The 26345-nt window shown below is 53.6% G+C and overlaps 2 protein-coding genes across 10 annotated transcripts, besides 12 other annotated features; one reads left to right on the top strand and one right to left on the bottom strand.

Annotated features, from left to right (window-relative positions):
• Positions 149 to 774: an enhancer, noted in NCBI's record as "H3K27ac hESC enhancer chr16:5147415-5148040 (GRCh37/hg19 assembly coordinates)". NCBI's record gives its function as "activates a minimal SCP1, AML or CMV promoter by ChIP-STARR-seq in naive and primed H9 embryonic stem cells {active_cell/tissue: H9 hESC(naive and primed)}" and the evidence as "EXISTENCE:reporter gene assay evidence [ECO:0000049][PMID:30033119]".
• Positions 253 to 382: a silencer, noted in NCBI's record as "silent region_7173". NCBI's record gives its function as "represses an Ori minimal core promoter by ATAC-STARR-seq in GM12878 lymphoblastoid cells {active_cell/tissue: GM12878}" and the evidence as "EXISTENCE:reporter gene assay evidence [ECO:0000049][PMID:35858748]".
• On the top strand, positions 393 to 13904 carry EEF2KMT (eukaryotic elongation factor 2 lysine methyltransferase). Of its 6 annotated transcripts, XM_005255158.5 has the most exons (9): positions 393 to 544; positions 835 to 908; positions 2674 to 2736; positions 4624 to 4704; positions 6293 to 6394; positions 7623 to 7756; positions 7839 to 8104; positions 8932 to 9081; positions 12456 to 13904. In XM_005255158.5, exons 5-9 carry the CDS (start codon positions 6353 to 6355, stop codon positions 12554 to 12556), a joined length of 693 nt encoding a protein of 230 aa, XP_005255215.1. In that variant the 5' UTR covers positions 393 to 544; positions 835 to 908; positions 2674 to 2736; positions 4624 to 4704; positions 6293 to 6352; the 3' UTR covers positions 12557 to 13904. The 6 variants fall into 6 exon arrangements, with proteins under 6 accessions (XP_005255215.1, NP_958802.1, XP_011520706.1 ...); NM_201400.4 differs by lacking the exon at positions 835 to 908; XM_011522404.3 differs by lacking the exon at positions 4624 to 4704.
• Positions 553 to 712: a silencer, noted in NCBI's record as "silent region_7172". NCBI's record gives its function as "represses an Ori minimal core promoter by ATAC-STARR-seq in GM12878 lymphoblastoid cells {active_cell/tissue: GM12878}" and the evidence as "EXISTENCE:reporter gene assay evidence [ECO:0000049][PMID:35858748]".
• Positions 2263 to 2815: an enhancer, noted in NCBI's record as "H3K4me1 hESC enhancer chr16:5145374-5145926 (GRCh37/hg19 assembly coordinates)". NCBI's record gives its function as "activates a minimal SCP1, AML or CMV promoter by ChIP-STARR-seq in naive H9 embryonic stem cells {active_cell/tissue: H9 hESC(naive)}" and the evidence as "EXISTENCE:reporter gene assay evidence [ECO:0000049][PMID:30033119]".
• Positions 7430 to 7930: an enhancer, noted in NCBI's record as "H3K4me1 hESC enhancer chr16:5140259-5140759 (GRCh37/hg19 assembly coordinates)". NCBI's record gives its function as "activates a minimal SCP1, AML or CMV promoter by ChIP-STARR-seq in naive H9 embryonic stem cells {active_cell/tissue: H9 hESC(naive)}" and the evidence as "EXISTENCE:reporter gene assay evidence [ECO:0000049][PMID:30033119]".
• Positions 7931 to 8431: an enhancer, noted in NCBI's record as "H3K4me1 hESC enhancer chr16:5139758-5140258 (GRCh37/hg19 assembly coordinates)". NCBI's record gives its function as "activates a minimal SCP1, AML or CMV promoter by ChIP-STARR-seq in naive H9 embryonic stem cells {active_cell/tissue: H9 hESC(naive)}" and the evidence as "EXISTENCE:reporter gene assay evidence [ECO:0000049][PMID:30033119]".
• Positions 10809 to 26345, bottom strand: ALG1 (ALG1 chitobiosyldiphosphodolichol beta-mannosyltransferase). 4 transcript variants are annotated; one of them, NM_019109.5, is made up of 13 exons: positions 26131 to 26345; positions 25160 to 25237; positions 24932 to 25035; positions 22652 to 22800; positions 20654 to 20743; positions 20171 to 20281; positions 19310 to 19431; positions 19086 to 19124; positions 18381 to 18440; positions 17132 to 17242; positions 15515 to 15629; positions 14431 to 14506; positions 10809 to 13438 (listed from the first exon to the last, which is right to left on the bottom strand). In NM_019109.5, exons 1-13 carry the CDS (start codon positions 26336 to 26338, stop codon positions 13307 to 13309), a joined length of 1395 nt encoding a protein of 464 aa, NP_061982.3. In that variant the 5' UTR covers positions 26339 to 26345; the 3' UTR covers positions 10809 to 13306. The 4 variants fall into 4 exon arrangements, 3 of the variants coding, with proteins under 3 accessions (NP_061982.3, NP_001317433.1, NP_001425052.1); NM_001330504.2 differs by lacking the exon at positions 26131 to 26345 and adding an exon at positions 25885 to 25940; NM_001438123.1 differs by lacking the exon at positions 19086 to 19124.
• Positions 13048 to 13960: an enhancer, noted in NCBI's record as "H3K27ac-H3K4me1 hESC enhancer chr16:5134229-5135141 (GRCh37/hg19 assembly coordinates)". NCBI's record gives its function as "activates a minimal SCP1, AML or CMV promoter by ChIP-STARR-seq in naive H9 embryonic stem cells {active_cell/tissue: H9 hESC(naive)}" and the evidence as "EXISTENCE:reporter gene assay evidence [ECO:0000049][PMID:30033119]".
• Positions 15053 to 15552: an enhancer, noted in NCBI's record as "H3K4me1 hESC enhancer chr16:5132637-5133136 (GRCh37/hg19 assembly coordinates)". NCBI's record gives its function as "activates a minimal SCP1, AML or CMV promoter by ChIP-STARR-seq in naive H9 embryonic stem cells {active_cell/tissue: H9 hESC(naive)}" and the evidence as "EXISTENCE:reporter gene assay evidence [ECO:0000049][PMID:30033119]".
• Positions 15553 to 16054: an enhancer, noted in NCBI's record as "H3K4me1 hESC enhancer chr16:5132135-5132636 (GRCh37/hg19 assembly coordinates)". NCBI's record gives its function as "activates a minimal SCP1, AML or CMV promoter by ChIP-STARR-seq in naive H9 embryonic stem cells {active_cell/tissue: H9 hESC(naive)}" and the evidence as "EXISTENCE:reporter gene assay evidence [ECO:0000049][PMID:30033119]".
• Positions 25886 to 25945: an enhancer, noted in NCBI's record as "active region_10350". NCBI's record gives its function as "activates an Ori minimal core promoter by ATAC-STARR-seq in GM12878 lymphoblastoid cells {active_cell/tissue: GM12878}" and the evidence as "EXISTENCE:reporter gene assay evidence [ECO:0000049][PMID:35858748]".
• Positions 26116 to 26225: an enhancer, noted in NCBI's record as "active region_10349". NCBI's record gives its function as "activates an Ori minimal core promoter by ATAC-STARR-seq in GM12878 lymphoblastoid cells {active_cell/tissue: GM12878}" and the evidence as "EXISTENCE:reporter gene assay evidence [ECO:0000049][PMID:35858748]".
• Positions 26256 to 26315: an enhancer, noted in NCBI's record as "active region_10348". NCBI's record gives its function as "activates an Ori minimal core promoter by ATAC-STARR-seq in GM12878 lymphoblastoid cells {active_cell/tissue: GM12878}" and the evidence as "EXISTENCE:reporter gene assay evidence [ECO:0000049][PMID:35858748]".

Below are 26345 nucleotides of genomic sequence, written 5' to 3'. Positions count from 1 at the left end.
CCTGGGCTCTGCTCCGAGTCTCGCCTCCTGAACCCAATGGCGTTTATCCCTGCCCTAATGCCCGCCTCCAGGACTCTTATCCTGCCCCCACGCAAGGCCCCGCCTCCAGGACGCCACCAACCTGGACGCTTCTGAAGCCCAGCTTCCAGGATCGCCCTATCCTGGCCCCGCCCCAGGACCCGCCAACCTGGACTCTACCCAGGACCTGCCCCCTACCCAGGACCTGCCCCAACGACGCTTATCCTGGCCCCACCCCAGGCCCCGCCCTCATAACAATCATCCTGGCCCCGCCCTAGAGTCCGCCCCCACGACGTTCCTCCTGACCCCCGGGGGACCCCCGGGCCCCGCCCCCTCTCTGCCCCCGCTCACTGCCCTGGGCCCGCCCCCTCTTCAGTCCAGGCCGGGCTTCCGCCCGGTCTGCCGGCAACGCTGCGGCCCCGCCCACGTCATGGCGCCCGAGGAGAACGCGGGGACCGAACTCTTGCTGCAGAGTTTCGAGCGCCGCTTCCTGGCGGCACGCACACTGCGCTCCTTCCCCTGGCAGGTGGGCGGCGGGGCGAGCGGAGAGGCCCGCGGGGCTCGCGGGAGTCCAGGGGCAGACGGGACGGGTCTCCGTGCTGAAGCCCCTGGCGCTCCCGCCACGTGAGTTCCTGGGCTCCCGCCGGTCAGGGCCGCGCGACCCGGTCCCCGTCCCTGGGGCCTGGCCAGAGTCGCTCGCACCCCTCCTGCCCCGCGAGCTGGCGGGGGAAGCTGGGGGCGTCTCCACAGCCTTGGGGGGCAGACGCGCGCTCGGTGTGGGGTACAGTTCACGATCATTTTCACGACTTTTTAAAGGCAGTAATCGTTCTGGTCACTGGGACACAGCTGCCCTCGCCCATTCTAAAAAGTCAGCGCCGTCAGGACCGCAGGTAACCACGTCCTCCTGAGCGCGGTGACCGGGTCACAGGCTGTCCCTCGTGCCTCAGTATTCTCATCTGTATGTTGAGCACTGCACAGAATCGGCTCATGCTCTGAGGCTGTCACGCCTGTGATGGAAGAGACAGAGAAGGGGGTGGCCTCTCCTCGCCCTGGGGACCTGCCATTCTCAGCACAGGCCCATGGCAGGCAGCAGCCTCCCTTCTGCCAGCAGAGGGGCTTAATGCACCCGGCCTCATTTGTAATTCATGTGCGGTGAGCTCACTGGGATGAGTGAGTTTGGATATATATTCCTCCCTGGGTCTGCCCCATTTTATGGGGTGTTGCTTAATCATTTGCGTTATTCCATTGACATAAAATATTTGCACTCAGAGATCATTTCTGGTCAAGAGAAATTCGTGCATTTTTAACCCAAAATAGAAACCTTCATAAAAGCATCATAGGTCTCCATTCAGTATTGACTGTAATTGTTCACATGCCCACGCTGAATGCTAACTTGGGCTCACCCTCAACACCCACGAGGTGGGTACTATTATTACCACTCACATTTGACCAGAGGGATTGTTTGATTAGGGTGCAGTAGTTGAGAGTTCAGACCCAGGAGACAGCCTGTCTGCTTCGAATCCTGGCCCAGCCCCTGGCCCTGTGTGACCTTGGGCAAGTGACTGCATCTCTCTGTGCTGTTTTCTTATTAATAAAATGGGGGATATAATGATACCTACCTCTTAGGGTTGTTGTCAGGGTTGAGTACAAAAGCCTGTGGATCAGTGCCTGGCTCATGGTAAATACATGTTGGTGTTAGCTAGTGTTTTTATTCAGTCTCAAAATGTTTAATAAATGCCTTCTGTGAGCCAGGCACCATGGATCAGCAGTACCCATGACAGATGAGGCTCTGCTTGCATGGGAGAGCCAGAGAATAAACAAATAAATAAACAAGAAAAGACCAGATGACAGTGGCTTTAAAGCCAATAAAACAGGGAAATAGTGAATGCGGGAACTGGGAAGAAGAGTCACCAAAGTCAGGGAATCAGGGAAGCCTTCCCCAAAGAGGTGGCATTTGAACTGGGGCCTGAGTGGTGAAGCAGCCAGCCATGGGAAGGGCTTGGGGAACAGGATATGCAAAGGCCCTGTGGTGGAAACAAGCCAGCTGTGGTTGAGGAACAACACCAAGGCAGCCAGTGTGGCTGGAGTGGAGTGAGCAGGGTGGGCCAGGGGTGAGGGAGAACAGGCCAGAGAGAGGGATTAGGACCAGGTCTTGTAGGGCCTTTTATGGCATGGAGGGAGCTCTGAAGCAATGAAGTGCCTTGCCCTGTGTCACATACCAGCCGAGACAGTCTGCCTAACTCGGGAGCCAAGGCTCGCTGCTGGGCTTGAGGCCCCTGTAAGAGGATAATGTAACTCAGGCTGGTATGGGCACATTCTGCATCTCCACTTAGATGGCAAGCCCATCAAACCTTGGTGCCATGGCTGCCCTGGTAATTCCTGGCTGAGCAGTGCAACCAGGGAGCTGGCCCATGACCCGGGTGGCCGCTAAGTAGCCAGGACTAATGTGGCCAAAAGTCAGCCTTCTTCCTGTGACTCATCCAGGTGCACCCTGCGACATCTGAATGTCAGGCTTTCAGCCGCTGTGGCTTCCACTTCCAACTGGCTCCACGTCCCCAGGGAGGGATCACACAGCGCTTTGCCAACACATTCTATTGCGTGTTTAATGTTCCTGTGAATGCGCCCTTGAGATTTCTCTCTTTCCCCTCCACACAGAGCTTAGAAGCAAAGTTAAGAGACTCATCAGATTCTGAGCTGCTGCGGGATATTTTGCACAAGGTAAGAATCCCAGAGTCCCTGGGACTCATGACCCTGCCTCCTGAATCTCTCCAGAAGACCTGAGAGAAGAACTGCAGGTGTGCTTGTACCCTTTAAAAACACCCCTGTTCAAAAAACAAAACCATTGAGTCAGCACTGCAGGTGGGTGTCAGCACCTCTGACAGCTCCAGCGCTTTCGTTTTCTATTTAAGACTTAGACAAAGACTTCAGAATATACAAAAACCTGCAATGAGAGGGGGGAATCTAGGGAATGTTTTTTAAACCATCCACAGCAAAAACAGAGATGACAGGTGCAAAACAGCTTCTAGCATTTGGTTGATGTTCAGAGACTTTCTTTTTTGCTTTCATGAGGCCTGTCCTGCCCACTCCTGTCTCCTCTAGACCTAAATGGGCCCTTGCTTTGCCCAGGGTGGGGTTTGGACTCAAGTGCATCTGCCTGCAGGTGAGAGGCAGGATCACCACCCGGCCCAGCCACAGCCTGACCTTGGCCTTGAGGGCCAAGTGCAGATCACCCTGCATCCTGGGTCTTCACGTTCGAAGGGCCATGAGCCCTTCTGAAAAGACCAAGCAATAGACTCCCTCGCAGAAAGAAGTGCACCAGAAGAATACATTTTCCATACAAACTCAGGAGGCAGATATCCTCCACCCCCACCCACCCAGCCCATCCTAGGAGCCCCGGTGAAGAATTCCTGTGCTAGAGGTGAACCAAGATTATCCATGTGGAAAAGATACAGCCACAGCAGGGAAAACTTTCGGGGCAATACCAGGGCTTCGAGCATGGAGATACCTGAAGTTATCTCGCACCCTGCTCTGAGTTTCACCCTGAGCCTCACTCTCGTAGGTGGTGAAGCATGAAATGTAGGGAGAGCTGCTTTAAAACCCAGCACAAGGCTGGGTGCACTGGCTCACACCTGTAATCCCAGGACTTTGGGAGGCTGAGGTGGACAGATCACCTAAGGTCAGGAGTTCCAGACCAGCCTAGCCAACATGGCAAAAACCCATCTCTACTAAAAATACAAAAATTAGCTGGGCGTGGTGGTACATGCCTATAGTCCCAGCTACTCAGGAGGCTGAGGCAGGAGAATCGCTTGAACCCAGGAGGCAGAGGCTGCAGTGAGCCAAGATCGGGCCACTGCACTCCAGCCTGGGCAACAGGGCGAGACTCTGTGTCAGAATAAATGAAAAACCAGCACCAGCCTGAAGAGCCTGTGTATTGCGTGGGGTACTTTGCTGCCCTTGGGCAGAATCTGCATCCCTCCCAGCCAGCAGGCACTGTGGACCGTCTCCTCCCTCTCCCTCCAGGCTCCTGTTTTCCCGCCGTCCCCACTCCTGCTGCACCAGTCCCTCTGCCCTCCTTTCCAAGTGCCAGGCTGTGGCCACCTCAGAGCTTGCACCAGCTGTTCCCACTGCCTAGAACTTGCTCATCCTGCATTTGGCTTCTCTGGGCTTTAGCTGGAGTGTCACCCGGAGCGTCCCGTCCCCTCCATCCTGTCCCCAGGGACACACACTCCAAGAGAGCAGTTGCCGAGTGGGCCTTCCCGCCTCTTCCATAGAGCCAGACCGTTGGCGACTGTCCTTACTGCAAACCCTGGTTCACACTGGCTCCCCTGGGAGGGAGGCGGTTTGGGCCCACATGCCCTGTGTTCCTGCTCAGAATGGGCGTTAGAAATGCTGCCATAGCCTGTGCCACTGCAGTGGAAGCATTTTTAGGAAACAGCTTATATCTTAAGACAAACTTCAGATGCATGGGGCCAAAACGCTGTGTCCATCTACATCTTTGCTGAGGGATCGGGTAGCCTGGAGTTTGCCCTCTGCTGTGTTGGCTTGAAGCTCATAGGAGACTTAAGACGGGCTCTCGAGCAACCAACGTTCTGTCCTTTGCCGTAGACTGTGAAGCATCCTGTGTGTGTGAAGCACCCGCCGTCCGTCAAATATGCCCGGTGCTTTCTCTCAGAACTCATCAAAAAGGTCAGTTATGGGCAGTGTCCGCCCAGTAGCCGGACAGCATAGCCACCTGCGTGCTGGAGCCCCCGTCCTTCCCAGGCCCTGGGCCTGCTTTGCAAACCCCAGCATGGCAGGGGCCTCCCCAGGCAACTGGCTGCAGCCACATGTGACCCATGGGAGACAGTGCAGGGCGGGAAGAAGGGGAGGCCAGCATCTCTCCCTCACTCTGCCTCCTGGGGTTTCCACGGCAGCTGCTCCTCTGGGGCCCCAGCTCCTAGCATATGGATTCTCATTCCTACCAGGCTGGCCCAGCCCACAGCACTGGAACCCTCACCCGCACCCTCTGTCCTGCCCGCTGAAGGGTTTGGAGTTTCCTGCTCTTGTCCGTCTCTGGGTTGCCCCACAGGCCCCTGTTGGAAGATTTAGCTCTTGCCATACCTTCGGAACTAGTTCCTCTGGTGAATTCTCTGCATTAATCCTGCTGGAATGAGCTCTTTCCTGACTGATAAAGGATGAATTTTATTTTTTACTTATTTATTTATTTTTTTGAGACAGAGTCTCACTGTGTTGCCCAGGCTGGATTACCGTGACACAATCTCGGCTCCCTGAAACCTCTGCCTCCTGGGTTCAAGCAACTGTCATGCCAGCCTCCTAAGAAGCTGGGACTACAGGCACACGCCACCATGCCTGGCTAATTTTTTATTTTTAATAGAGACAGAGTTTCACCATGTTGGCCAGGCTGGTCTCGAACTCCTGACCTCAGGTGATCCGCCTGCCTCGGCCTCCCAAAGTGCTGGGATTACAGGCATGAGCCACCGCACCTGGCCTAGGATGGATTTTAAAGATGCGCCCGAACATGCAGGGTTTGACATGAGGATGTCGAGAGGCCTCCTCAGTAGGCAGTAGCAGACCTGCTGAGTGAAAGAGCCACACTTTTAGCAAATAAACAATCCCCTGCTTCTCCAATACCTGCTTTCTCCCTAGTCCTCCCCAGAAGCATGCATCTGTGGTCACCAGCAGGTCTGCCCTGTGCCACCAGGAGAGGGCAGCAGTCACCCAGTGTACTCTGCTGCTGCCCTGTGAATCATAGGACGGGGCCAGCTGTGGAGAAGCGGCCTGCTGACAGCCACAGCCTGCAGCATGGGCCGCCCTCACACTTCTGCCTGGGCTCACTTAAAAGCACCTTTTGTTTTCCTCCTCTCTGTGTTTGATCCAAACACGGCTCTCTATCATGGTCACCTGGCAACTCTCACGGAATCCTTGTCTCCTGCCCTAGACTACACCTAACCCTACCCTCCCAACACCTCTGGTTCAAGGCCCTCCCATCCAGGTTTCCCTACCAAGTGAATTTTTTTTTTTAGAGACAAGGTCTCTGTTGCCCAGGCTGTCCTCGAACTCCTGGGCTCAAGCAGTCCTCCCATGTCAGCCTCTAGAGTAGCTGGGACTATTCGGCACACACCACCAAGCCCAACGAAGTGAATATTTTATATGGCAGCTGGCCGGTATTATACCATTCCATCGCAAATCTCCCCTCCAAACTTGGTGAAAATCATCTGGCCATTTTTACAGATTAGAACGAAAGCAAACAAGCTCTCACTCTGTCTGCCCCCAGCACGAGGCTGTCCACACAGAGCCTTTGGACGAGCTGTATGAAGCGCTGGCGGAGACCCTGATGGCCAAGGAGTCCACCCAGGGCCACCGGAGCTATTTGCTGGTATGAGAAGGGCACCCTCCTCCCCCTCACAGCCCAGATACCCTTCCTGCACAGACAAAGTGAAAACGTGGGTGTGGGTTCAAATCCTGACTCACCCATTCTACAGTCTTAGACATGAGGTCCGTCAACCTTCTTTAGCCTCAGTTTCCCTGTCTGTAAATCAGGCACTTCAACAACAACAGCATGTCTCGTGGAGTTGTTGGGCACTTATCCAATAGGTGACACACACTACCTGCTTCACAAGGACCTGGTGCCCAGTCCTCAAAGAATACTTGACAGGGCTGGGCGTGGTGGCTCACGCCTGTAATCCCAGCGCTTTGGGAGGCCGAAGTGGTTGCATCTGAGGTCAGGAGTTCGAGACCAACCTGGCCAATATGGTGAAACCCTGTCTCTACTAAAAATACAAAAATCAGGCCGGGCGTGGTGGCTCATGCCTGTAATCCCAGCATTTTGGGAGGCTGAGGCGGGGGGATCACCTGAGGTCAGGAGTTTGAGACCAGCCTGGCCAACATGGTGAAACTCCATCTTTACTAAAAATACAAAAATTAGCGGGGTGTGGTAGTGGGCACCTGTAATCCCAGCTACTAGGGAGGCTGAGGCAGGAGAATCTCTTCAACCCAGGAGGTGGAGGTTGTAGTGAGCCAAGATCATGCTATTGCACTCCAGCCTGGGCAACGAGAGCAAATCTCTGTCTCAAAAAAAAGTACAAAAAGTAGCCGGACATGGTGGCACACGCCTGTATTCGCAGCTACCTGGGCGGCTGAGGCAGGAGAATTGCTTGAACCCAGGAGGCAGAGGTTGCAGTGAGCCAAGATCGTGCCACTGACTCCAGCCTGGGTGACAGAGCTCAAAAAAAAATAAGATAAAACATAGATACAGAAAACCACAAAGGAAAAACAGCATATTGAATCATCACAAGGCAGCCACCCCTTCATAGCCACACCTGTCCCCTGGCCACCACTGACATGTGTTCCATCGCCAGAATTCCGTTGTCTCAGGAAGGTTCGATGAATGGAATCCTGTGTGGCCTGAGATGAGTGTCTTTCACACCGCGTGACACCCTTGAGGCCCGTGAAAGCTGTTGGCATGCCAACAGTTAGCTGCTTCTCATTGCTGAGTGGCGATTGGTCCTGTCATGGTTTATTCAGCCATGTGGTGGGGCTACTTGTCTTCTAAGCCACTTGCCTTCTGATCGCTGGACTGACTCTCTCGCCTTCTCTTGGTGCAGCCCTCGGGAGGCTCGGTCACACTCTCCGAGAGCACGGCCATCATCTCCTACGGTACCACAGGCCTGGTCACATGGGACGCCGCCCTCTACCTTGCAGAATGGGCCATCGAGAACCCGGCAGTCTTCACTAACAGGTGACCTCGGGGCGCAGGGCAGGGCACCGAGGCAGGCTTACCCTGGTGCAGTCGCAGACACGGTCCCCTTTCCTCCCGCCAGGACTGTCCTAGAGCTTGGCAGTGGTGCTGGCCTCACAGGCCTGGCCATCTGCAAGATGTGCCGCCCCCGGGCATACATCTTCAGCGACTGTCACAGCCGGGTCCTTGAGCAGCTCCGAGGGAATGTCCTTCTCAATGGCCTCTCATTAGAGGCAGACATCACTGCCAAGTTAGACAGCCCCAGGGTGACAGTGGCCCAGCTGGACTGGGACGTCGCGACGGTCCATCAGCTCTCTGCCTTCCAGCCAGATGTTGTCATTGCAGCAGGTAATGCCCAGCCCCGGGCACCCTGTGCAGGTGGTGTCCTTGCAGCTCTACCCAGCTCTTGGCTCTGGGAAAAGGGAACAATGGACGCTGTCGGGCATGGACATGATGGGGCTTCCAGAAGAGTTACTCTGGGCCTCCAGGGTGACATCACAGGACAGGGGTGCCTCTTAAGGTGACCTTCAACCCACAGCCCTCTTTTTGGAGACAGGCATACTCCCGTTCCAGTCGTTACCACATGGCTCTGTCCCAGAGCCATGCCCTGTGTCCTTCAGAGACCACAGGAGGAAAACAACCACTTCTGGGACGAAGACAGGGCCCTTGAGAGAAGGTGGTGTTTGGCTGGGCCACCGAAAACCCCTCACCCCTGCCAGCACACTCAGTCCCCTCTCTGGTGGAACAGAGCTCTGCCTGTGGTCCTAGGTCCCAGCCCTGAAACCCACAGGTCCAGCGGTGGCCAGGGACACAAGCCCACCCCTGCAAGCCAGCAGACAAATCAGCAGATGCCTGAAACATGAAGTTCATGGCAGGGTCAGGCTTTGTGTCATTCAAAGCCCTCTAGATAGGCCAAGAACCAGAGCTGGTTTTTTAAGGAACACCAGTGAGTCTGGAGATTTTTTTCTTTTGCTTCGGTCTTTTGCAGCTTTCTCTACTAAGGGTTCTCCTTTTTCACCCAAGTAATTGCCTTTCCATCTAATGGCCCAAATGGTCAAATGGCATCTACTAGTCTCATATGACCGCTGCCTCTCTGGCCTCGCCCTGCTGCTGACGTCAGCATGACCTGGACCTGTCCACTGGTCCCTTTCAGTAACCTGAAGCTTTCACCATAGATGTGCTGTATTGCCCAGAAGCCATCATGTCGCTGGTCGGGGTCCTGCGGAGGCTGGCTGCCTGCCGGGAGCACCAGCGGGCTCCTGAGGTCTACGTGGCCTTTACCGTCCGCAACCCAGAGACGTGCCAGCTGTTCACCACCGAGCTAGGTGAGCCTCCACGCCCACCCGGGCCTGCATGGTCCCTGAGCTGTCCCTGCAGGACGCCAGTGGAAGTGAAAGAACTGGGTGCCGGGGAAAAGCTAGGTTGCCCCACACTCCCACACCATGGGGGGAACTCAGGCAGAGGCCAGTGAGCAGGGTGGGCTTGGGGCGTGGGGGGCTTGCGGCAGGAGGAGGGCAGCTCAGCACAGGGAGGGAGGGTCTGAGCCCAGCAGCCCTACTGTGTGCTTCAGAGCAGGGTTCCCTAAGCCCTTGGGCCTCGGTTTCCTCATCTATAAAATGGAGGTGGCGGGAGGGGCAGTCGGGGTCAGGGCTGGACACAGCTGTGGCCTGCAGGACGCTGGAGCACAGGATGTACAGGCGGATCCACCACGCCACTGTCCTGAGCACCCAGTCGGTGGAAGACGAGCAGGGTGACTGTAGAGAAGGGGAACTGGCCCCATAGTGGGCCAGCAACTGTCCTCAGACCTGACATTTGTCAGCCCCCAGCAACTGTGAGGGTGTGCTGTCACTGTCCCATCTCACCAACAAAGACACTAGGACACACGGAGGCCAAGAGACCCCCGAGCTCCCGCAGACTGCACCCCAGCCACCTGGCTCTCACGCCTCCACACTACACCCAAGCCCCCCAGTGCCACCAGCCTTTGCCCCAGCTCCCCCTGAGCACAGCCCCTCCTGGCAGCCATGTGCACAGATGCACATGCAGCAGCCTCTGCCTGCACACAGAGACACAGACAACCCAGTGCCTGTCCACGTGGGGCAGCCCGTTAACTACAGAGCCAACAAACAAGCCAGCACACGAAGACGTACTGGGTTCCACGACAGAGTCCCCCCACAACCTCGCACAGGAGGCTGGCCGGGCGCAGGGCTCAGGCCTGTCATCCCAGCACTTTAGGAGGCTAAGGCAAGAGGACTACTTGACCCCAGGTGTTCAAGACCAACCTGGGCCACATAGTGGGACCCCATCTTCACAAAACATACAGAAGCTAGCCAGATGTGGTTGCACACGCCTGTAGTCCCAGCTACTCAGGAGGCTGAGGTGGGAGGATGGCTTGAGCCCAGGAGATGGAGGCTGCAGTGAGCCCTGATCTCACCACTGCACTCCAGCCTGGGCAACAGAGCAAGACCCTGTCTCAAAAAAGCAAAGAAATAAAAAATAAAAAAAAAAAAAGGAAGTCTTTCTTCAGATACTTACGTGAAAAAAAACCTGCAATATATTTTAAGTGAAAAAAACAGTGCCAAGCAGCACACATAGTATAAGCCCCCACCCACCTTTTTTTTTTTTTTTTTTTTTGAGACAGAGTCTGGCTTTGTATTGCCCAGGCTGGAGTGCAGTGGTGCCATCTCGGCCCACTGCAACCTCCCACCTCCCAGGTTCAAGCTATCCTCCCATCTCAGCCTCCTGAGTAGCTGGGACTACAGGCACGTGCTACCACACCTGGCTATTTTTTGTATTGTTTGTAGAGTTGAGGTTTCGCCATGTTGGCCAGGCTGGTCTTGAACTCCTGACCTCAAGTGATCTGCCGCCTCAGCCTCCCAAAGTGTTAGGAATACGGGCGTGAGCTACTGCGCCCAACCCCATTTTTGTTTAAAAACTAATAATAATCACCCACACATGGTTATGAGTACCTATATTCCCAACTCCTCAGGAGGCTGACGCGGGAGGATGGCTTAAGCCCAGGAGTTTGTGGCCACCTTGAGCAACATAGCGAGACTTCATCTCAAAACAAAATTTATCACAATAATCATTTTCACATAAGTATACCTATAGGGGAAAACCTAGAATATACATATAGCAGTCTTGTCCAACTTGCGGCCCAACGCAAATCTGTAAACTTTCTTCAAACAGTACGAGGTTTTTTTGTGATTTTTTTTCTTTTAGCTCATCAGGTATTGCTAGTGTTAGTGTATTTTATGCGTGGCCCAAGGCGATTCTTCTTCTTCCAGTGTGGCACAGGGAGGCCAAAAGATTGGACATCCCTGATATACACATTAACAGGTGCCATCCTTGGATGGCAGGATTATAGAGATTTCTACACATTCATGTCTGTACTACTTCATTCTTATAAATACGCATTTTCCACTCGTAACAAAAAACTGTGATTGAAAATCGTCCCGGGTCACAGTGTCTCACGCCTGTAATCCCAACACTGTAAGAGGCTGAGGCTTTGGGAGGCTGAGGTGAGCAGATCACGGGAGGTCGAGTTCAAGACCAGCCTGGCCCACATGGTGAAACCCCATCTCTACTAAAAACACAAAAATTAGCCAGGCGTGGTGGTGCACGCCTATAGTCAAAGCTACTCGGGAGACTGAGGCAGGAGAATCACTTGAACCTGGGAGGCGTTGCAGTGAGCTGAGATTGTGCCACTGCACTCCAGCCTGGGGAACAGAGTAAAACTTCGTCTAAAAACAAATAATAAAAGAGGCTGAGGCAGGAGCATCACTTGAGGCCATGCGTTCAGGACCCCATCTCTACAAAATAAAAAAATTACTGGCATGGTGGCACGCACCTGTCATCCCAGCTACTCAGGAAGTGGGAGGATTGCTAGAGCCCAGGAGTCGAGGCTGTAGTGAGCAATGACTGTGCCACTGCACTCCAGCCTGGGTGACAGAACAAGATCATATCTCAAAACAAAAAAAAAGAATCATTCTGGCTAACGGCTCTTCAGACATCTGTGCTTATGAGAACAGCAGCCCCTTCTAAGCTGTGTGTGTGTGTGGGTGTGTGTGTGGTGCGTGTGGTTTTTTTTTTTTTTTTTTGAGACTTAGTCTCACCCTGTCACTCAGGCTGGAGTGCAGTGGCACAATCTCAGCTCACTGCAACCTCCACCTCCTGGGTTCAAGCAATTCTCCCACCTCAGCCTCCCAAGTAGCTGGGATTACAGGCACTCGCCATCATGCCTGGCTAATTTCTGTATTTTTGTAGAGATGGGATTTCACCATGTTGGCCAGGCTGGTCTCGAACTCCTGACCTCAAGTGATCCGCCCGCCTTGGCCTCCCAAAGTGTTGGGATTACAGGCATGAGCCACTGTGCCCGGCCGCTTTCTAAGCTTTGTGAAGAGTGGGTTGACTATTCAGATCTCTGCTTCTGTCCCGCTGTGCCAAGTGCTGGGGCAGACACAGGCAGAGAGTGGACAGCGGCACGGTGCCTGCTGCTAGCCATTTCTATGCAAAACCAGCTTTCTGGTCCCATCCTGGAGGCCAATTCTAGGCACCTGGGTGGGCCTGGGAACCTGTGAACCAAGTAAACTGACTTGGACACCCCCCTACCCCGCCAGGCCTGTCCTAGCAGCCCCACACAATACCCTCATGTCCTGTCCCCAAACACCGCCATCCTCAAACACATGTGCTCTGTTTCCAGGCCGGGCCGGGATCAGATGGGAAGTGGAACCTCGTCATGAGCAGAAACTGTTTCCCTACGAAGAGCACTTGGAGATGGCAATGCTGAATCTCACCCTGTAGGACTCACACACGACTCCAACGGGATTGTGAGAATCAAGTCACTCTCATGGGAAGAATTTTTATATGGGAAAGCGGATAAAACTTTCATTGGACTGGAATGTTTGGAGAATGTTAATTTCCAAATCAGGAACCACAAACTGCCCTCTAATAAGACATCGGCTATCTAAGCGTGTGGGTGCCCCCTTTCTGCCAGCAGTTCTGGTTCTTAAGAAAATCACCATAAATCAGACATGAAAATTCTGGCTCCAAAAATAGCATTTTCTTTGTGCAAATAAAAACGTGTGTATCAAGTATGATGTTCCCCCAACGTGGACACACTCAGTTCCTCACAAAGCCAAGCCCACTGCAGCTGCCACATCCCTGGGCTTACGGTGCAGCAGGTGCTTTTTTCAAGACAGGAATCAAAATGTTAGGAACACGGCAGAAAGGGGACACCTGGAGACCAAACGCAGGATGAGGAGTTCTGCAGAGGTCACAGGGAAGTCACAGAACAGTAATACGCTAGCAGGGGCATGGGGCGTGAAGAACAGAAGAAGAGAGGAAGCGTTTCCAAGCCTCCAGAGAAGAAATCAAGGCCAACCAAAGCTTCCCGGGTCACAGAACCAATTCTTTTACCAGGCAGTACCACTGCTGTCATTTCAGCTTCTGGCCACTGGGAGGTGCTGCTCGAAAGGGTTTGCCCTGAGACTCCAAGAAGAAGCTGCGGGAAGGACAGCAGGGGTCCTGGGGTTTTAGCCTCTGGCCCAGGAGTTATGTGTCCATAACCAAAGGGAGCACAGTCTGCACCCAGCTCTCATCCCATCGGAGCTGCTGCGACTCCCGCAGGTTCTTCCGGAACTGGTTTAGCTTGCCCGCAGGATCAGGAAAGTTTGAGAAAAGCATCTGCAAAAAAATAAAGAGCAGAGCTTACCTCATTGCCTGTCCCCACCCCATCCCAGGTCACCACCTGGCTGACCCCAGGTCCCCGACCCAACAACAACCCCTCCCAAGTCCCTAACTCCCTCACTTGGACTCGAGACCCTTCACACCCCAGCAGCACTCCGCCTCCAACTTGACATCACAGTTTCTGGAAACTTCCCCGCATGTCCCACTTTCCCACACTTGGTGCCCTGGAGCACCTCCCGGCCTCTACGTGCTGCCCATTCCCCTGTGAGCACCCTCCTCTCGGCCTCTGGCCAACGCAGTCTCACCCATCTGTGGGTAACAAGGGGGTGTCGGTGTTCTTTGCAGCCTTGCTAAACTGTCTGAATCAAGGATCACAAACTACAGCCTGCAGGCCAAATCCAGCCCACAGCCTGTGTTTGTAAATAAAGTTTTATTGGAACAAAGCCACACCCCTTAATCTACAGATGATCTGTGGCTACTTTCACACCCCAACAGAGTACCATGGTTCTGACAGAGACTGGGGAACCCAGTCTAAACGACTTCCGACCTGGACCTTTACTGAAAATCCTGCCAATCATTCTGTTGGCAAGAATGATGTATTACTTTTTGCAATAAGAAACAAGTAACCTTTGCAGAATTCCACCCATCTTTCAAGGCTGGTCCCAGAAGCTCCCTTTGCCCGCCCACCTACGTGATCCTGATCACTTCCTCAACCGCAGCCCGGCCCACCCAGCTCCAGCATCATTTGTGGAGTGTCAGCTCCATAAATCCAGAGGGCAGGTGGGGGTGTGTCTTAACTTTCCCGAGCCTACTGTACCGAAACGGGACAGCAGAGTGGGCCAGCCTCTGTGACCTCTGCTCCCTCCCTAGCTTTTCCGCCAGACCCCACATGGTCCCACCCTGGCTGTGGGAAGCAGGGATCAGGGAGCCTGGCTCGGTGCCAGTCTCCAGAACCCTCCCCACCCTGGCGTGGTGGCAGACGTGGCTACCTGCAGCTGAGCTGCCAGTTCCTCTGAGTCCTCAAAGACCAGGCCATTTTCTTCATGTTTCACCAGCTCATGTAAACTGCAGAGAGAACCAAGGGAGCCTGAGAGCTGCCTGTAGAAGACACCAGACCCCTGGGGTGCCCACCTGGGCTCCCCCACACACCCCATGCTCAAGCCAGGCTGGGGGTTGGAACAGGGGGTGTGGTTTCCGGGAGCTGGTTCTTAGATTTGGCATCTGAAGGGTATAAAGGCCTGGGGGGGTGCACATCAAAATGGCCACACCCATTTGAGGAGGGAGCCTTAAGGGGGGTTTGTACCTTCTGTGCTGGATGCTCTTCAAGGACTGAAGAATTATTTTTGCATGTTTTTCTTAATTCCATGGCCATGGAACAAGTAAAGGCAACGCCCTGGGGACTGGCTCAGCACATAAAAGATGACTTTTCTAGGGCACCAGGTTTGATCCCGACATTCCCTGAGCTCAGCTCACACGAGGGGCTCACATCCCTAAATCCCATCCAGGGGCCGGCTCCTGAGCAGGGGCCAAGGGCTCAACTTGTGCTGGGGCTACTGCTTCTAGAATCTCCTCTAACACTGCCCTTCCAAACACCCGTCTACGCTGGGTGCAGTGAGGCCACAGCATGACACTCATTTAACTGATTCAAACCGACCATGTGAGCTTGGCCAAAAGGGACATGGTGGGAGAGAAAAACAAAGAAAACCATGTAAGCCTGCAGGCAATTCCCACCAATTCTACCCTAGGAGCAAAAGCCCCGAGTGGAGTTCTGGTATTTAAGGTGCTTTTTGTTTTCATATTGGGTTGGTGCAAAAGTAGTTGCCATTTTTAATGGCAAAAACCATGATTACTTTTGTACCAACCTAAATATAACATGAGCTCTAAATGGAAGCAACTACTTCAGTGAGGCTCAGCCCAGCCACAGTAACCGCAGGGCTCCTCCTCATGGCCTCCAGTGTGTGCCGGACTGACCGAGGGGCAGGGCCTCACTGTGGGCAGCTCCCTCTGCACTGCTTCCCCCTCAGCGGTGGATCTGCAAAGCTATCCCCAGAAGGATTTGGGTTCTGCTCCTACCACTTGAAGTTCACAGCACACACAGGCAAACAGCACCCGAACATGTCCACCACCTTCATGGGCAGGTCCAGGCCACTGGAGGACGTGTGCAGACAGACACCCAGGTCCGCCGACCCTGCTAGGCAAGAGGGGTGGGTCAGAGCACTGGTCTCTGCCCTGGGAACACAAATCCTCCCAGCACAGTGAGGCAGCATCCCCCAAGGAGAGTGAAAATCAGATAAGGCCCCCAACAGCCCCAAACACAAGTGGCTTAAGCTGGCCAAGCAGCCACACAGCCTGGCTGGGACATCTGAAAATGTAAGTTGACACTTTTTATACGTAACCACAATTTGGTTTTTTTGTTGTTGTGTTGTTTTGTTTTGAGACAGAGTCTCATTCTGTCACCCAGGCTGGAGTGCAGTGGCACAATCTCAGCTCACTGCAACCTCCACCTCCCAGGTTCACCTCCTGCCTGTAATCCCAGCATTTTGGGAGGCCAAGGCGGGCAGATCACCTGAGGTCAGGAGTTCAAGACCAGCCTGGCCCACATGGTGAAACCCCATCTCTACTAAAAAAAATACAAAATTAGCCAAGCATCGTGGCAGGCGCCTGTAGTCACAGCTACTCGGGAGGCTGAGGCAGGAGAATCGCTTGAACCCGGGAAGGCGGAGGTTGCGTGAGCCAAGATCACACCATTGCACTCCAGCCTGGTCTACAAGAGCGAAACTCCATCTCAAAATGATAATAATAATAAACCACAGCACACCCACCACAAACCAGCTGTCACTGTGAAAATAAAGCCAAATAGCTTAACATTTCTAAAGACTAGCTGGGGCCAGGCGTGATGGGTCACACCTGGAATCCAAGCACTTAGGAAGGCCAAGGCAGGAGGATCACTTGAGGTCAGGAGTTCAAGACCAGCCTGGCCAACATGGTGAAACCCTGTCTCTACTAAAAATACAAAAATAAGCCAGGTGTTGTGGTGGGCTCCTGTAATCCCGTAATCTACTCGGGAGGCTGAGGTGGGAAAATCGCTTGAACCCAGGAGGCAGAGGTTGCATGAACTGAGATCATGCACTCCAGCCTAGGCAACGGAGCGAGACTGTCTAAAACAAAGACTAGGTGGAGAGTCCTGCCAGGAAAAGGCCTTCAGCCTCCAACTGCTCTGCTCACTCGAAGCTGGAAGATGCAGCTCTAGAGACGCATCAGGACCAAGGCACGACTCCCCACTTGGAGAAATCAACGGGGAAAGAGACGGAGGCAAAGGAGAACCATCTCACTGGGAGAGGCGACGCTGTTTGACACATCGTCCCCGTACCTCCCAAAGCCACTGCCCTCCCACACCTGGGCAACAGTGGCCCCAACCCCAGGCCCAGCCCTCCTGCAGGAAGGAAGAGGACTGAATGGAGGGCGTGGCAGGCTGAAAGGACGTGGCCTCCTCAAACCCCTTGGTAAACGGCCCCTGGGGCCACCTGGCAGGGAGGGGCTGGCACACCAGGAAGTAGCCTCCTCCTGGGAGTTCAGCCAGAGCCCAGGTCCCGTCCCCCAGTGGCCTCCAGAGCCACCTTTTCAGAAAAAGTACATCCCGCCCACCCTGTTCCCCCCGCCTCCTCCCTGAGCCTCCTGCTGGCCTCTCACCTAGAAGCAGGGGGTAGTCCTCGGCCTCCAGCCAGGGGGTGCAGACCTGGATGTGCTGGAAGTGCTTCTGGTGGATGAGGCGGCTATAATACTCCCTCAGAGGCCCTTTGCCTTCACAGAGAAGAGCAGACACTGCCATGGACCCATCTCTGTCCCTGCCACGTGGCCCCAGGCCCAAGACACTCCCCCCTAGGAGGGATCCCTTTCCCAGAAGCTCCACCCCTCAGCAGCTCCAGTCAGGCCCCATCCGGGCCCTTCCAGAAGCAACCCAGGAGCCCTGAGACCTGCAGGGGTGTGTGCACCCTGACCCCTGACGCATAGCCTTTCACCTGCAGCCAGCTGGCCTCGGGCTGCAAACATGGCGGGGTAAGCACTGGCCTGGCACCCGACCGCCCACTGGGTGGACCCAGCCTTTTGTCTGTGTTGTGCACAGGGGACACGAGGACTCCTCCTGCCCTGGCACAGCCCCCAGAGCATATGGCGCGGGTTCCAAACCACTCCTGGGAGCCTAGAGGCCAGAGGAGGGAGGAGAGCAGGACCAGCAGCTGGCCCAGACCCGGCCTCTTCCCACACCGCTTCCGCTTTTCTCCCTCCTCACTGAGTCACCTTGAAAGGGCTCAGCAGCAGTAACTGTGGGACAGGGGCTCTTCCGTTTGAAAAATTAAGAGGCTTGGTTAAGGCACCAATGACATGGCCGGGCACAGTGATTTGTGCCTGTAATTCCAGCATATTGGGAGGCCAAGGCGGGTGGATCACCTGAGGTCAGGAGTTCAAGACCAGCCTGGCCAACATGGTGAAACCCTGTCTCTACTAAAAATACAAAAATTAGGCAGTTGTGGTGGGCACCTGTAGTCCCAGCCACTCGGGAGGCTGGGGCATGAGAATTGCTTGAATGTGGGAGGCGGAGGTTGCAGTGAGCCGAGATCGCACCACTGCACTCCAGCCTGGGCGACAGAGACTCTGTCTCAAAAAAAAAAAAAAAAGACACCAATGACGTAACAACAACAAAAAAAAGATGCTTGGAAACTACTGAAAAAGTAGAAAGCTTGGTATCTACAGATTCAAATCTGGGCTCCCTGCCCTGCCTCTGAGCCTCAGTTTCCCCCATGTCAAGCAGTATAAGACCCTATGGCAGAGCTGCAGTGAGGATTAAGGAGACAAGATCATGGGAAGCACAGGGTAAAGGCTGCGTGCCCCTCCCCCTCCGCCATCCCCCAACCAAACAGACACCCAGGGTCCCAGGCAGTACCTGTTATCACACAGACGAGAGAAGGAAGGTTGTGTCCATCAAGAGTCAGTTGTTCAAACTCTGTGTTTAGAAAAAGAAACAATTCTACATGGAATTTCTGATAGAATTTTTTTTTTTTTCTGACAGACTCTCACTCTGTCACCCAGGCTGGAATGCAATGGCGCGATCTCAGCTCACTGCAACCTCTGCCTCCTGGGTTCAAGTAATTCTCGTGCATCAGCCTCCCAAGTAGCTGGGATGACAGGCGCCCACCACCATACCTAGCTAATTTTTGTATTTTTAGTAGAGACAGGTTTCGCCCTGTTGGCCAGGTTGGTCTCGAACTCCTGACCTCAGATGATCTGCCTGCCTCGGCCTCCCAGAGTTCTAGGATTACAGGTTTGAGCCACCATGCCCATTCAGAAAAAAATTTTTAAATAAACAATAGCCAGAGTCACCTGGTCAGGTGGAGAAAGAGCACTGCTCTGGCGGGGAGGCCACCAGCCTGTGTGAGATACTCTCCTGGAGGGGGCATTTCAGCCTGAGGGCCTGGTCACTCAATGACCCAACTGGGGATTCAGGGCGGCCCACTTCCACCACCCCCGCTGTCCCCAGGCTGCCCCACCCAGTGGCCTGGGACAGGAACATGCTGCAGGCCAGGCAAGCAGCTTACAGCTCAGTGGCCCCCGACAAGCCCAGAGCTCCTCACCGCAGCCACACACCTACTTTCTAAAGCTGCCAGCAGGATGGAGAAGTCTTCGTCCTCTATGAGAAGAGAATTGAATGTCAGGGGCCTGTTTCTAGACACCCCTCTTCCAGCTCACAGGCCCTCCCGTTCTCATTGAGACCGTGGCAGGGTGGGAGCATGCAGGACTGGCAGGGGTGAGGAGAACACAGGTTGGCCAGGTGCCCGTCACACCAACCCCAAGTGCCCCAGGGGTCCTGCAGACCTGTCCAGCTCGTGCTGCTGACCAGCAGGGCTGGCCGCTCACGGAGACGCGTCACCAGCCCGCTCCCAGCATCCCGCTCCGTGAAGGCCGACCGCTCCGTGACTGGGTCCTCAGGTTCTGAGCTGAAGGAGCAGAAAAAAAGCCTGTGAGAGGCCATAGAGCAGGCCCGGGACCCAGGAGAGGCATCTCCTGCCGTGGCGAGGCCTGCAGGCTCCCAGAGGTTGGGGTGCCCAGCCACATCAGCAGCACCAGGCCACCCCTGCCATCTGAGGCCTGGGCTTGCTTTCTCTAATATTGTTGCTGGGTGCTAAGGTTACAACAGCAAACAAGACTGACTCATTCCTTTTCTCCACGGGACTTACTGTCTTATCATCCCCTGGACTCAAGATGAGGGTGCAGGGACGCCCTCCCACACCACCCCAGCTTACCCAGGGCACACCTCAGGGTGCGTAGACCTGCACAAAGGTCCCCTCCTTAGCCCCATGAGACACCCCAGGGGACACACAGGTCCACAGATCCTGCCACAGGCCTGGGAAGCCACTGGCAGGAGAGTAAGACAGCGCAGGGGTCCACAAACATTTCTTAAAGGGCCAGAGAGTAAATACTTCAGGCTTTGCGGGCCACAGGTTCTCTGTTGCAAAACGCGATTCTGCTATTGCAGCTCAAAGGCGGCTGTAGACAACTCAGAAGGCAATGAGTGTGTTGTGTCCCAGTGAAACTTGATTTACAAAAGCAGCAGACTGGCCTGTAGCCTTAGTTTGCCAACCCCTGGATGAGTGGGTTCCCAGGTCTGCAGTGAGAAGGGGAGAGGCCAGGGCAGTGGCGAGCAGGAGAGAAGGCAGCTGAGGATGGGAGGCCTACCGGGCCCTGAACGGAGAGTGCATGCTGCCCAGCTTCATGAAGAGCCGGTGCTGCAGGTCCAGAGGTGTCTCTTTAAAGAAAGATGCGGGCTTGTCGTAGACGGTCACAGCCCTGCAATGAAATCATGACGGGGCTATTGGGAGGGCTGAAGAAAGGCCTCAGGAACAGAGGACTCAGAGGCTCCAGGAAAAGAAGGACGCTTGGGGAATCCAAGTCTCAGATGATGACAAGAAGAAGCCTTGCAATTACTTGGGAATGCACAGAGAGACGTCCTAGGACCAAAACTGCCTGGACCCCCTGGCTGGCTAAGAAAGAAACTCTGCCCCCTCCTCCCCCAGCTTCCCCAAACCAAAGACCACCTCCCAGGCCCTCAGTATTTCAAATTGCCCCTCAGCAGGACGGCAGCAGGCAAGGCAGCTCTCACTGCAGCCAATCAGGGGCCCCGCGCCTCTCCCAGGCCGCCGTCATCCCAGGCCATGGTACCTGATGTGCCAGTTATCCGCCAGGTCTTCTCGCATAGCATTGGTAACACACAGGTTCAGGTGGGACAGGCGCCCAAAGAACTTCTCGTACCTGAAAAGAGAGATCAGCAGTCAGCAGAGCCCTAGACAGGCCTCCGCTACCACCACAGCGTGACTCGACATCCCTCAACAGAGAAAAGGCCGCAGAGCTGGGAGAGTTTGAGCTCCCTGAGCCCCAGCTGTGCCAGTGTTCTTTCTTTATGCTGTATATACCCTCCTTTATGTTGTGTCACTTGTTGGCTTAAATACAATCACTTTAAAAGGAAACTGCACTCCAGCCTGGGCAACAAAGCAAGACTCCGTCTCAAATAAATAAATAAATAAATACAAATTTAAAAAAATAAATAGAAGGACACTGTGTATCACTGCCAAAGTGAACATCCTCTCTCTTGCTGTAAAAGGAAGAAATACAGGCCAGGCGCGGTGGCTCATGCCTGTAATCCCAGCACTTTGGGAGGTGGATCGTTTGAGGTCAGGAGTTCGAGACCAGCCTGGCCAACGTGGTGAAACCCTGTCTCTACTAAAAACACAAAAATTAGCCAGGCGTGGTGGTGGGTGCCTATAATCCCAGCTACTCAGGAGGCTGAGGCAGGAGAATTGCTTGAACCCAGAAGGCGGAGGCTGCAGTGAGCCGAGATGGCGCCATTGCACTCCAGTCTGGGACATAGAGTGAGACTGTCTCAAAAAAAAAAAAAAAAAAAAAAGGAAGAAATACAATGAAGGCCTCACTAGCGATCTCAGCCACCCTGTGCTACCACTGCAAAGGCTGTAAGGTCACGGCTTGCTCTCAACGTGGGGCAAAGGGATTCAGTGAGCATTGTACACATTCTCTCCTAACGGAGACTGAGCCCTGATCGCAGGGTAGAGCCGGAACACGGCATGCGCGATTCTGGGTTATTTATCACCGCCAGGGTATCATCGCCTGTTCCTCTCAAGATGCAGAGAAAGCTCGGAAATGGGCTTGCCTGGGATATTTTGGTCCTCACACTTAGCTGTGTGGCAAGAGGCATAATCGTTCTCAGCCTCAGTTTCCTGACTTGTAAAAGGTACACCCTCCTGAGGTGCATAGAGATTGAACAGGGTAAAATACAAAAAGGGCTTGGATGGAGGACTGGCATGCAGCAGGTGCTCACCATTGACCATTCTGCTCCATTTGCTCAACTAAGCTGTTTGCTGCTGCTGTCACCACTGCCAGTGAACAAACTATCAGGGCGAAGGCCACAGCCAGCCAATGGCCCAAGGCCGGAAGTACACGCAGCAGCTGGACATGCACACGGAGGCTGGATGTGCACCTGAAGGCTGGCCGTGCAGAGTATAACAGAGATGTTATAGTTGGGCTCAGAGGACAGCAGATGACCTTCCCAGCTCCACGTCCCACTGCTACCACTGGCCCTTCTTCCCTCCCTGTCACATCAGCTGCAGCAACTGTGGCCCACTTCTCCAGCTACCAACAGCAGCCCTGGGTTTTAATTTGGGGATCTGCCCTCACCCACCCTCTGTCCATGAGATATGGATGCTCCTGAGACCCAGCTCTTCTGCTGGAGCACTTGCCCCCTGGCCTCAACAGGCAGATCAGAGGAAGGCAGGTAACCTACATGAGCCAATCAGAAAGGGCTGCCCTCCCCAATGAGCCTACGTGAGGACAAGAGCTAGGAGAGTTCCGGGAACCACCACCAGAAGGGAGTGTGGAGACAGACGTGAGCTGGGTCCCAGTGACACTGCTGAGCTCGAAACCAACCATTTCCACAGACACTTCCATTTCATGGGCCAAAAAATGTGGTCCTTTGCTGAGGCCTGTTTCTATCATTTGGAACCAGCATTCGGCCTGATTCACCAGCCTCACCCCACCTCCTGCAGAGCCCACAAGGAACCGACTTCCGGAGGCCCACTATGGCCCTTCTTCTCACTCATCCTTGAGTGGTTTAGGGGACGGTATTTTACCCTCTTCCTAGACTCTCACCACTTGGCCAGCAGAACGAGGGGATGGTTGGGGCCATGCACCAGACCCATGATGGAGTAGCCATAGTTGTGCCAGTCAATGACGAGCTTGCTTCCACAAAGGCAGCCCACGAACCAGCAGACAGCAATGCTAGGCAGACCTGGGGGGTTCTAGGAAAGATAGAGACTTGAAGGGGAGGAAACCCAGACCATGCTAGGCAATAAACCCAGTAAAAATAGTCACAACACACATGGTGATGAGTCTGTTATCTTTACAGAGCTCTTGATAATAAGCAGAAGAAAGACCCTCTCCACCACCAAAATAGATGTAAAAAGTCATAAAAGAAACAGAATGGGCCAGGTGCGGTGGCTGATGCCTGTAATCCCAACACTTTGGGAGGCCAAGGCAGGAGGATCATTTGAGCCCAGGAGTTCAAGGCCGGCCTAGGAAACACAGTGAGACCTCATCTCTACAAAAAATTTAAAAATTAGCCAGGTGTGGTGGGACACACCTGCAGCCCCAGCTACTCAGGAGGCTGAGGAGGTAGGATCACTTGAGCCCAGGAGGATGAGGCTGCAGTTAAGCTATGATTGTGCCACTGCACTCCAGCCTGGGCGACAGAGCTAGACTCTGCCTCTAAAACAAACAAACAAAAACCAAACAAACAAACAGAACCAACCTGAAAAGTCCAAGATCATCAATAATCAAGGAGGCAAAAAACAGAACAAAGAGATGGCATTTTTCACCTGTTGGAATGCAAATTCTAAAAAGGTCTAACAACAGCTGGTGATGGTAAGCATGGGGGAGAAGAGGTACCCCCACTCAGCGGGGGCCAAACTGACCCAACCTTACTCTAAAGCTATCCAGTAACATACACATTTTTAAAATGCATCAACTTTGACTACACAATTCCACTGCTGGGAAGTTACCCTAAGAAAGAAACTGGACTTATACAAAAGGCATATGCTCGCTGTGCTTGGAGCCACACTATTTGTAAAAGTAAAAACAAAATCAGGAAGAATCTGAGTATCCATTAACATGAGACTAAATACATGCAGTATAGTACATCACATATTGGAATTCAAGGCTGCCTATTAAAAGAGGAAGGTGTGGGTCACGATGGTTCATGCCTGTAATCCCAGCAATCTGGGAGGCCGAGGCAGGTGGATCACCTGAGGTCAGGAGTTCAAGACCATCCTGGCCAGCATAGCGAAACCCCATCTCTACTAAAAAAAATTACAAAAATTAGCCAGGCATGGTGGCACATGCCTGTAATCCCAGCTACTCAGGAGGCTGAGGCAGGAAAATCACTTGAACACGGGAGGTAGAAGGTGCAGTGAGCCAAGATCGCACCACTGCACTCCAGCCTGAGCAACAGAGACTCCATCTCAGGAAAAATAAAAATAAATAAATAAAAGAGGAAGGTGCTTCTATATATTAAAAATTGATTTAAAAAAAAAAGTATTCTTCCTTCAGCTAGAAAAGAAAGAAAAATTTTTTAAAGAAAAAGTGATCAAGGGAAGGGATTAAAAGTATAACGATAGGCCAGGCGCGGTGGCGCACGCCTGTAATCCCAGCACTTTGGGACGCCGAGGGGGGCGGATTACCTGAGGTCAGGAGTTCGAGAACAGCCTGGCCAACATGGCGTAACCCCATTTCTACTAAAAATACAAAAATTAGCTGGGCGTGGTGGCGGGCACCTGTAATCCCAGCTACTCAGGAGGCTGAGGCAGGAGAATCACTTGAACCCGGCAGGCAGAGGTTGCAGTGAGCCGAGATCACGCCACTGCACTCCAGCCTGGGCGGCAAGAGCGAAACTCTGTCTCAAAAAAATATATGTGTGTTTGTGTGTGCGCGCGTATGCGTGCGTGTGTATACTATAGAACCACACTGACGACCTACGTTCAAATCCTGATTCCACCACTTCCTAGCTGTATGGCGATGGGCTACTTACAGAGCCTTTCTCAGTCTAGGTTTTCTCATCTAAATGAGAACAACCTTAAGAAACAGGTTCTTGTATTACCTACATGCAATATTTCTTAGGGTAACTGTGAGGACTAAATGAGTTAATACATGGAAAACACTTGATACACAGTCAGTACAATGTAAGACTATCTGTAATGACACAGAGAGCATGGATAGGTGCCATAAATAGACACATACCATAGGCTCCTACTCATGTCTTTAAACGCCCATACACACAACACACACACATATGAATATGCAATATAGTACCAATTTGTGCTGGAAAGTAAACTGCTAACATGGCTCTCACAGAGGGAGGCAGAGGCTGATACACACCTGGAGAAAGATATAGGCACCTGGCTCCCTCCACATCAACTTCCACAGCAAGTACATAGCCTGAAGTACAACTTTGACTCCGTACTGGAAAACTCGGGGCCCAACTGCAAGTCAGAAAACACCTGTGACTACCAAAGGAGCGTCTGGCAATCTGCACGGCTTTTCAAACGAACACCCCCTGCCCCCAGCCCATGGATTCAGAGGATTCTGGAGTTGACGGCATCCTACCTGCAAGACTCTGAAGTTCTGTCAACCCCACAATCTGAATTCTGTTGTTCTGCAAGAGCTCATCATGGGGTTTGGAGTCTGAAAAATGAGAATGATCCCTTTAATGTACCAGAAGCAGCAATCTAAAGTCAGATAATCTCCCAACTCAGGCTGAATCACGGACAGTGTTTTGGAAAGTAAGATATTTCAAAACCTCTCTCTGCTCCTCACTAGCCAGAACAGAGAATGCGGCCAATTCTTGTTCAGATTGCTCTAGGAGGCACACAGAGATAGGGCCTGAATCTTACCTACCTTCACTTAACATGATGCCTGGCAAACAGTAGGTGCTCAATTAAACTAATCTAGATTGTCTGGATAGTGGAATTTTCCCACCACAGAGCCATCCCTAGGAAGTCCCACTCTACCCCATCACCCTAGGATAGCAGATTCTAAACAGGGATTAAAGGCAACTAGTGCTGTTCCCACTTCTTCCTGAGATGGGGTTGAGCTACCCTCTCAAGATACCAACGTGGAGAATAATGAGGGAGCAGACACCGCTGCCCTGCACACTGTGGGGAAAAGCTGGACATGAAGAACAAATGAAAACATCTGTCTGCAGAGCTCTGCGTTGAGGGATGAGGAATGAAATATCCTGTCAGCTCAGACATAGCCTGACAAGGGTAGCTGCACAGGGACGTAGCTACCAGCACTAGCCCTGGAGTTCCACGCACCTGGGTTCCACTTACTAGGAGAATTACGTGAGACCACGCAATGGATTCACTTAACACACTTCTGACACGTGGCAAGATTAACGCCGGCTATACCTAGAGACCCACCCAGGAAAGGCTGGGGCAGAACCGCTCGTCTAATCTCGGAGAGCTGCCCAAAGGCGGCGACTAAAGGAGCACTTCCGCCTCGACTCCCCGGGGCGGTTAGAACCGAGGATCAACGGCTGAGAGAGCATCGTCCCTCCCAGACCCTTGGCCACTCACTGCAGAACCCCAGGAGGGTCACCGAGAAGCCGTGCATGGCCAACGACAGCGCGTGGTACTGCATACGGGGGCTGCGGCCCACGTCGCCCAGCACCACCGCTACTACATGCCGGGCCGCCCGCCCCCGGCGCCAGCGCTTCCATCCTCCCAGCAGCAGCAGCGGCAGCAGCAGACACAGCGCCAGCAGGACCAAGCATGAGGCCGCCATCTTGGCT

This window comes from Homo sapiens, chromosome 16, assembly GCF_000001405.40.
Source record: "Homo sapiens chromosome 16, GRCh38.p14 Primary Assembly".
NCBI lineage: Eukaryota > Metazoa > Chordata > Mammalia > Primates > Hominidae > Homo > Homo sapiens.
Note: the sequence above shows the minus strand (reverse complement) of the source record. Positions and strands in the feature narration are given on the sequence as shown.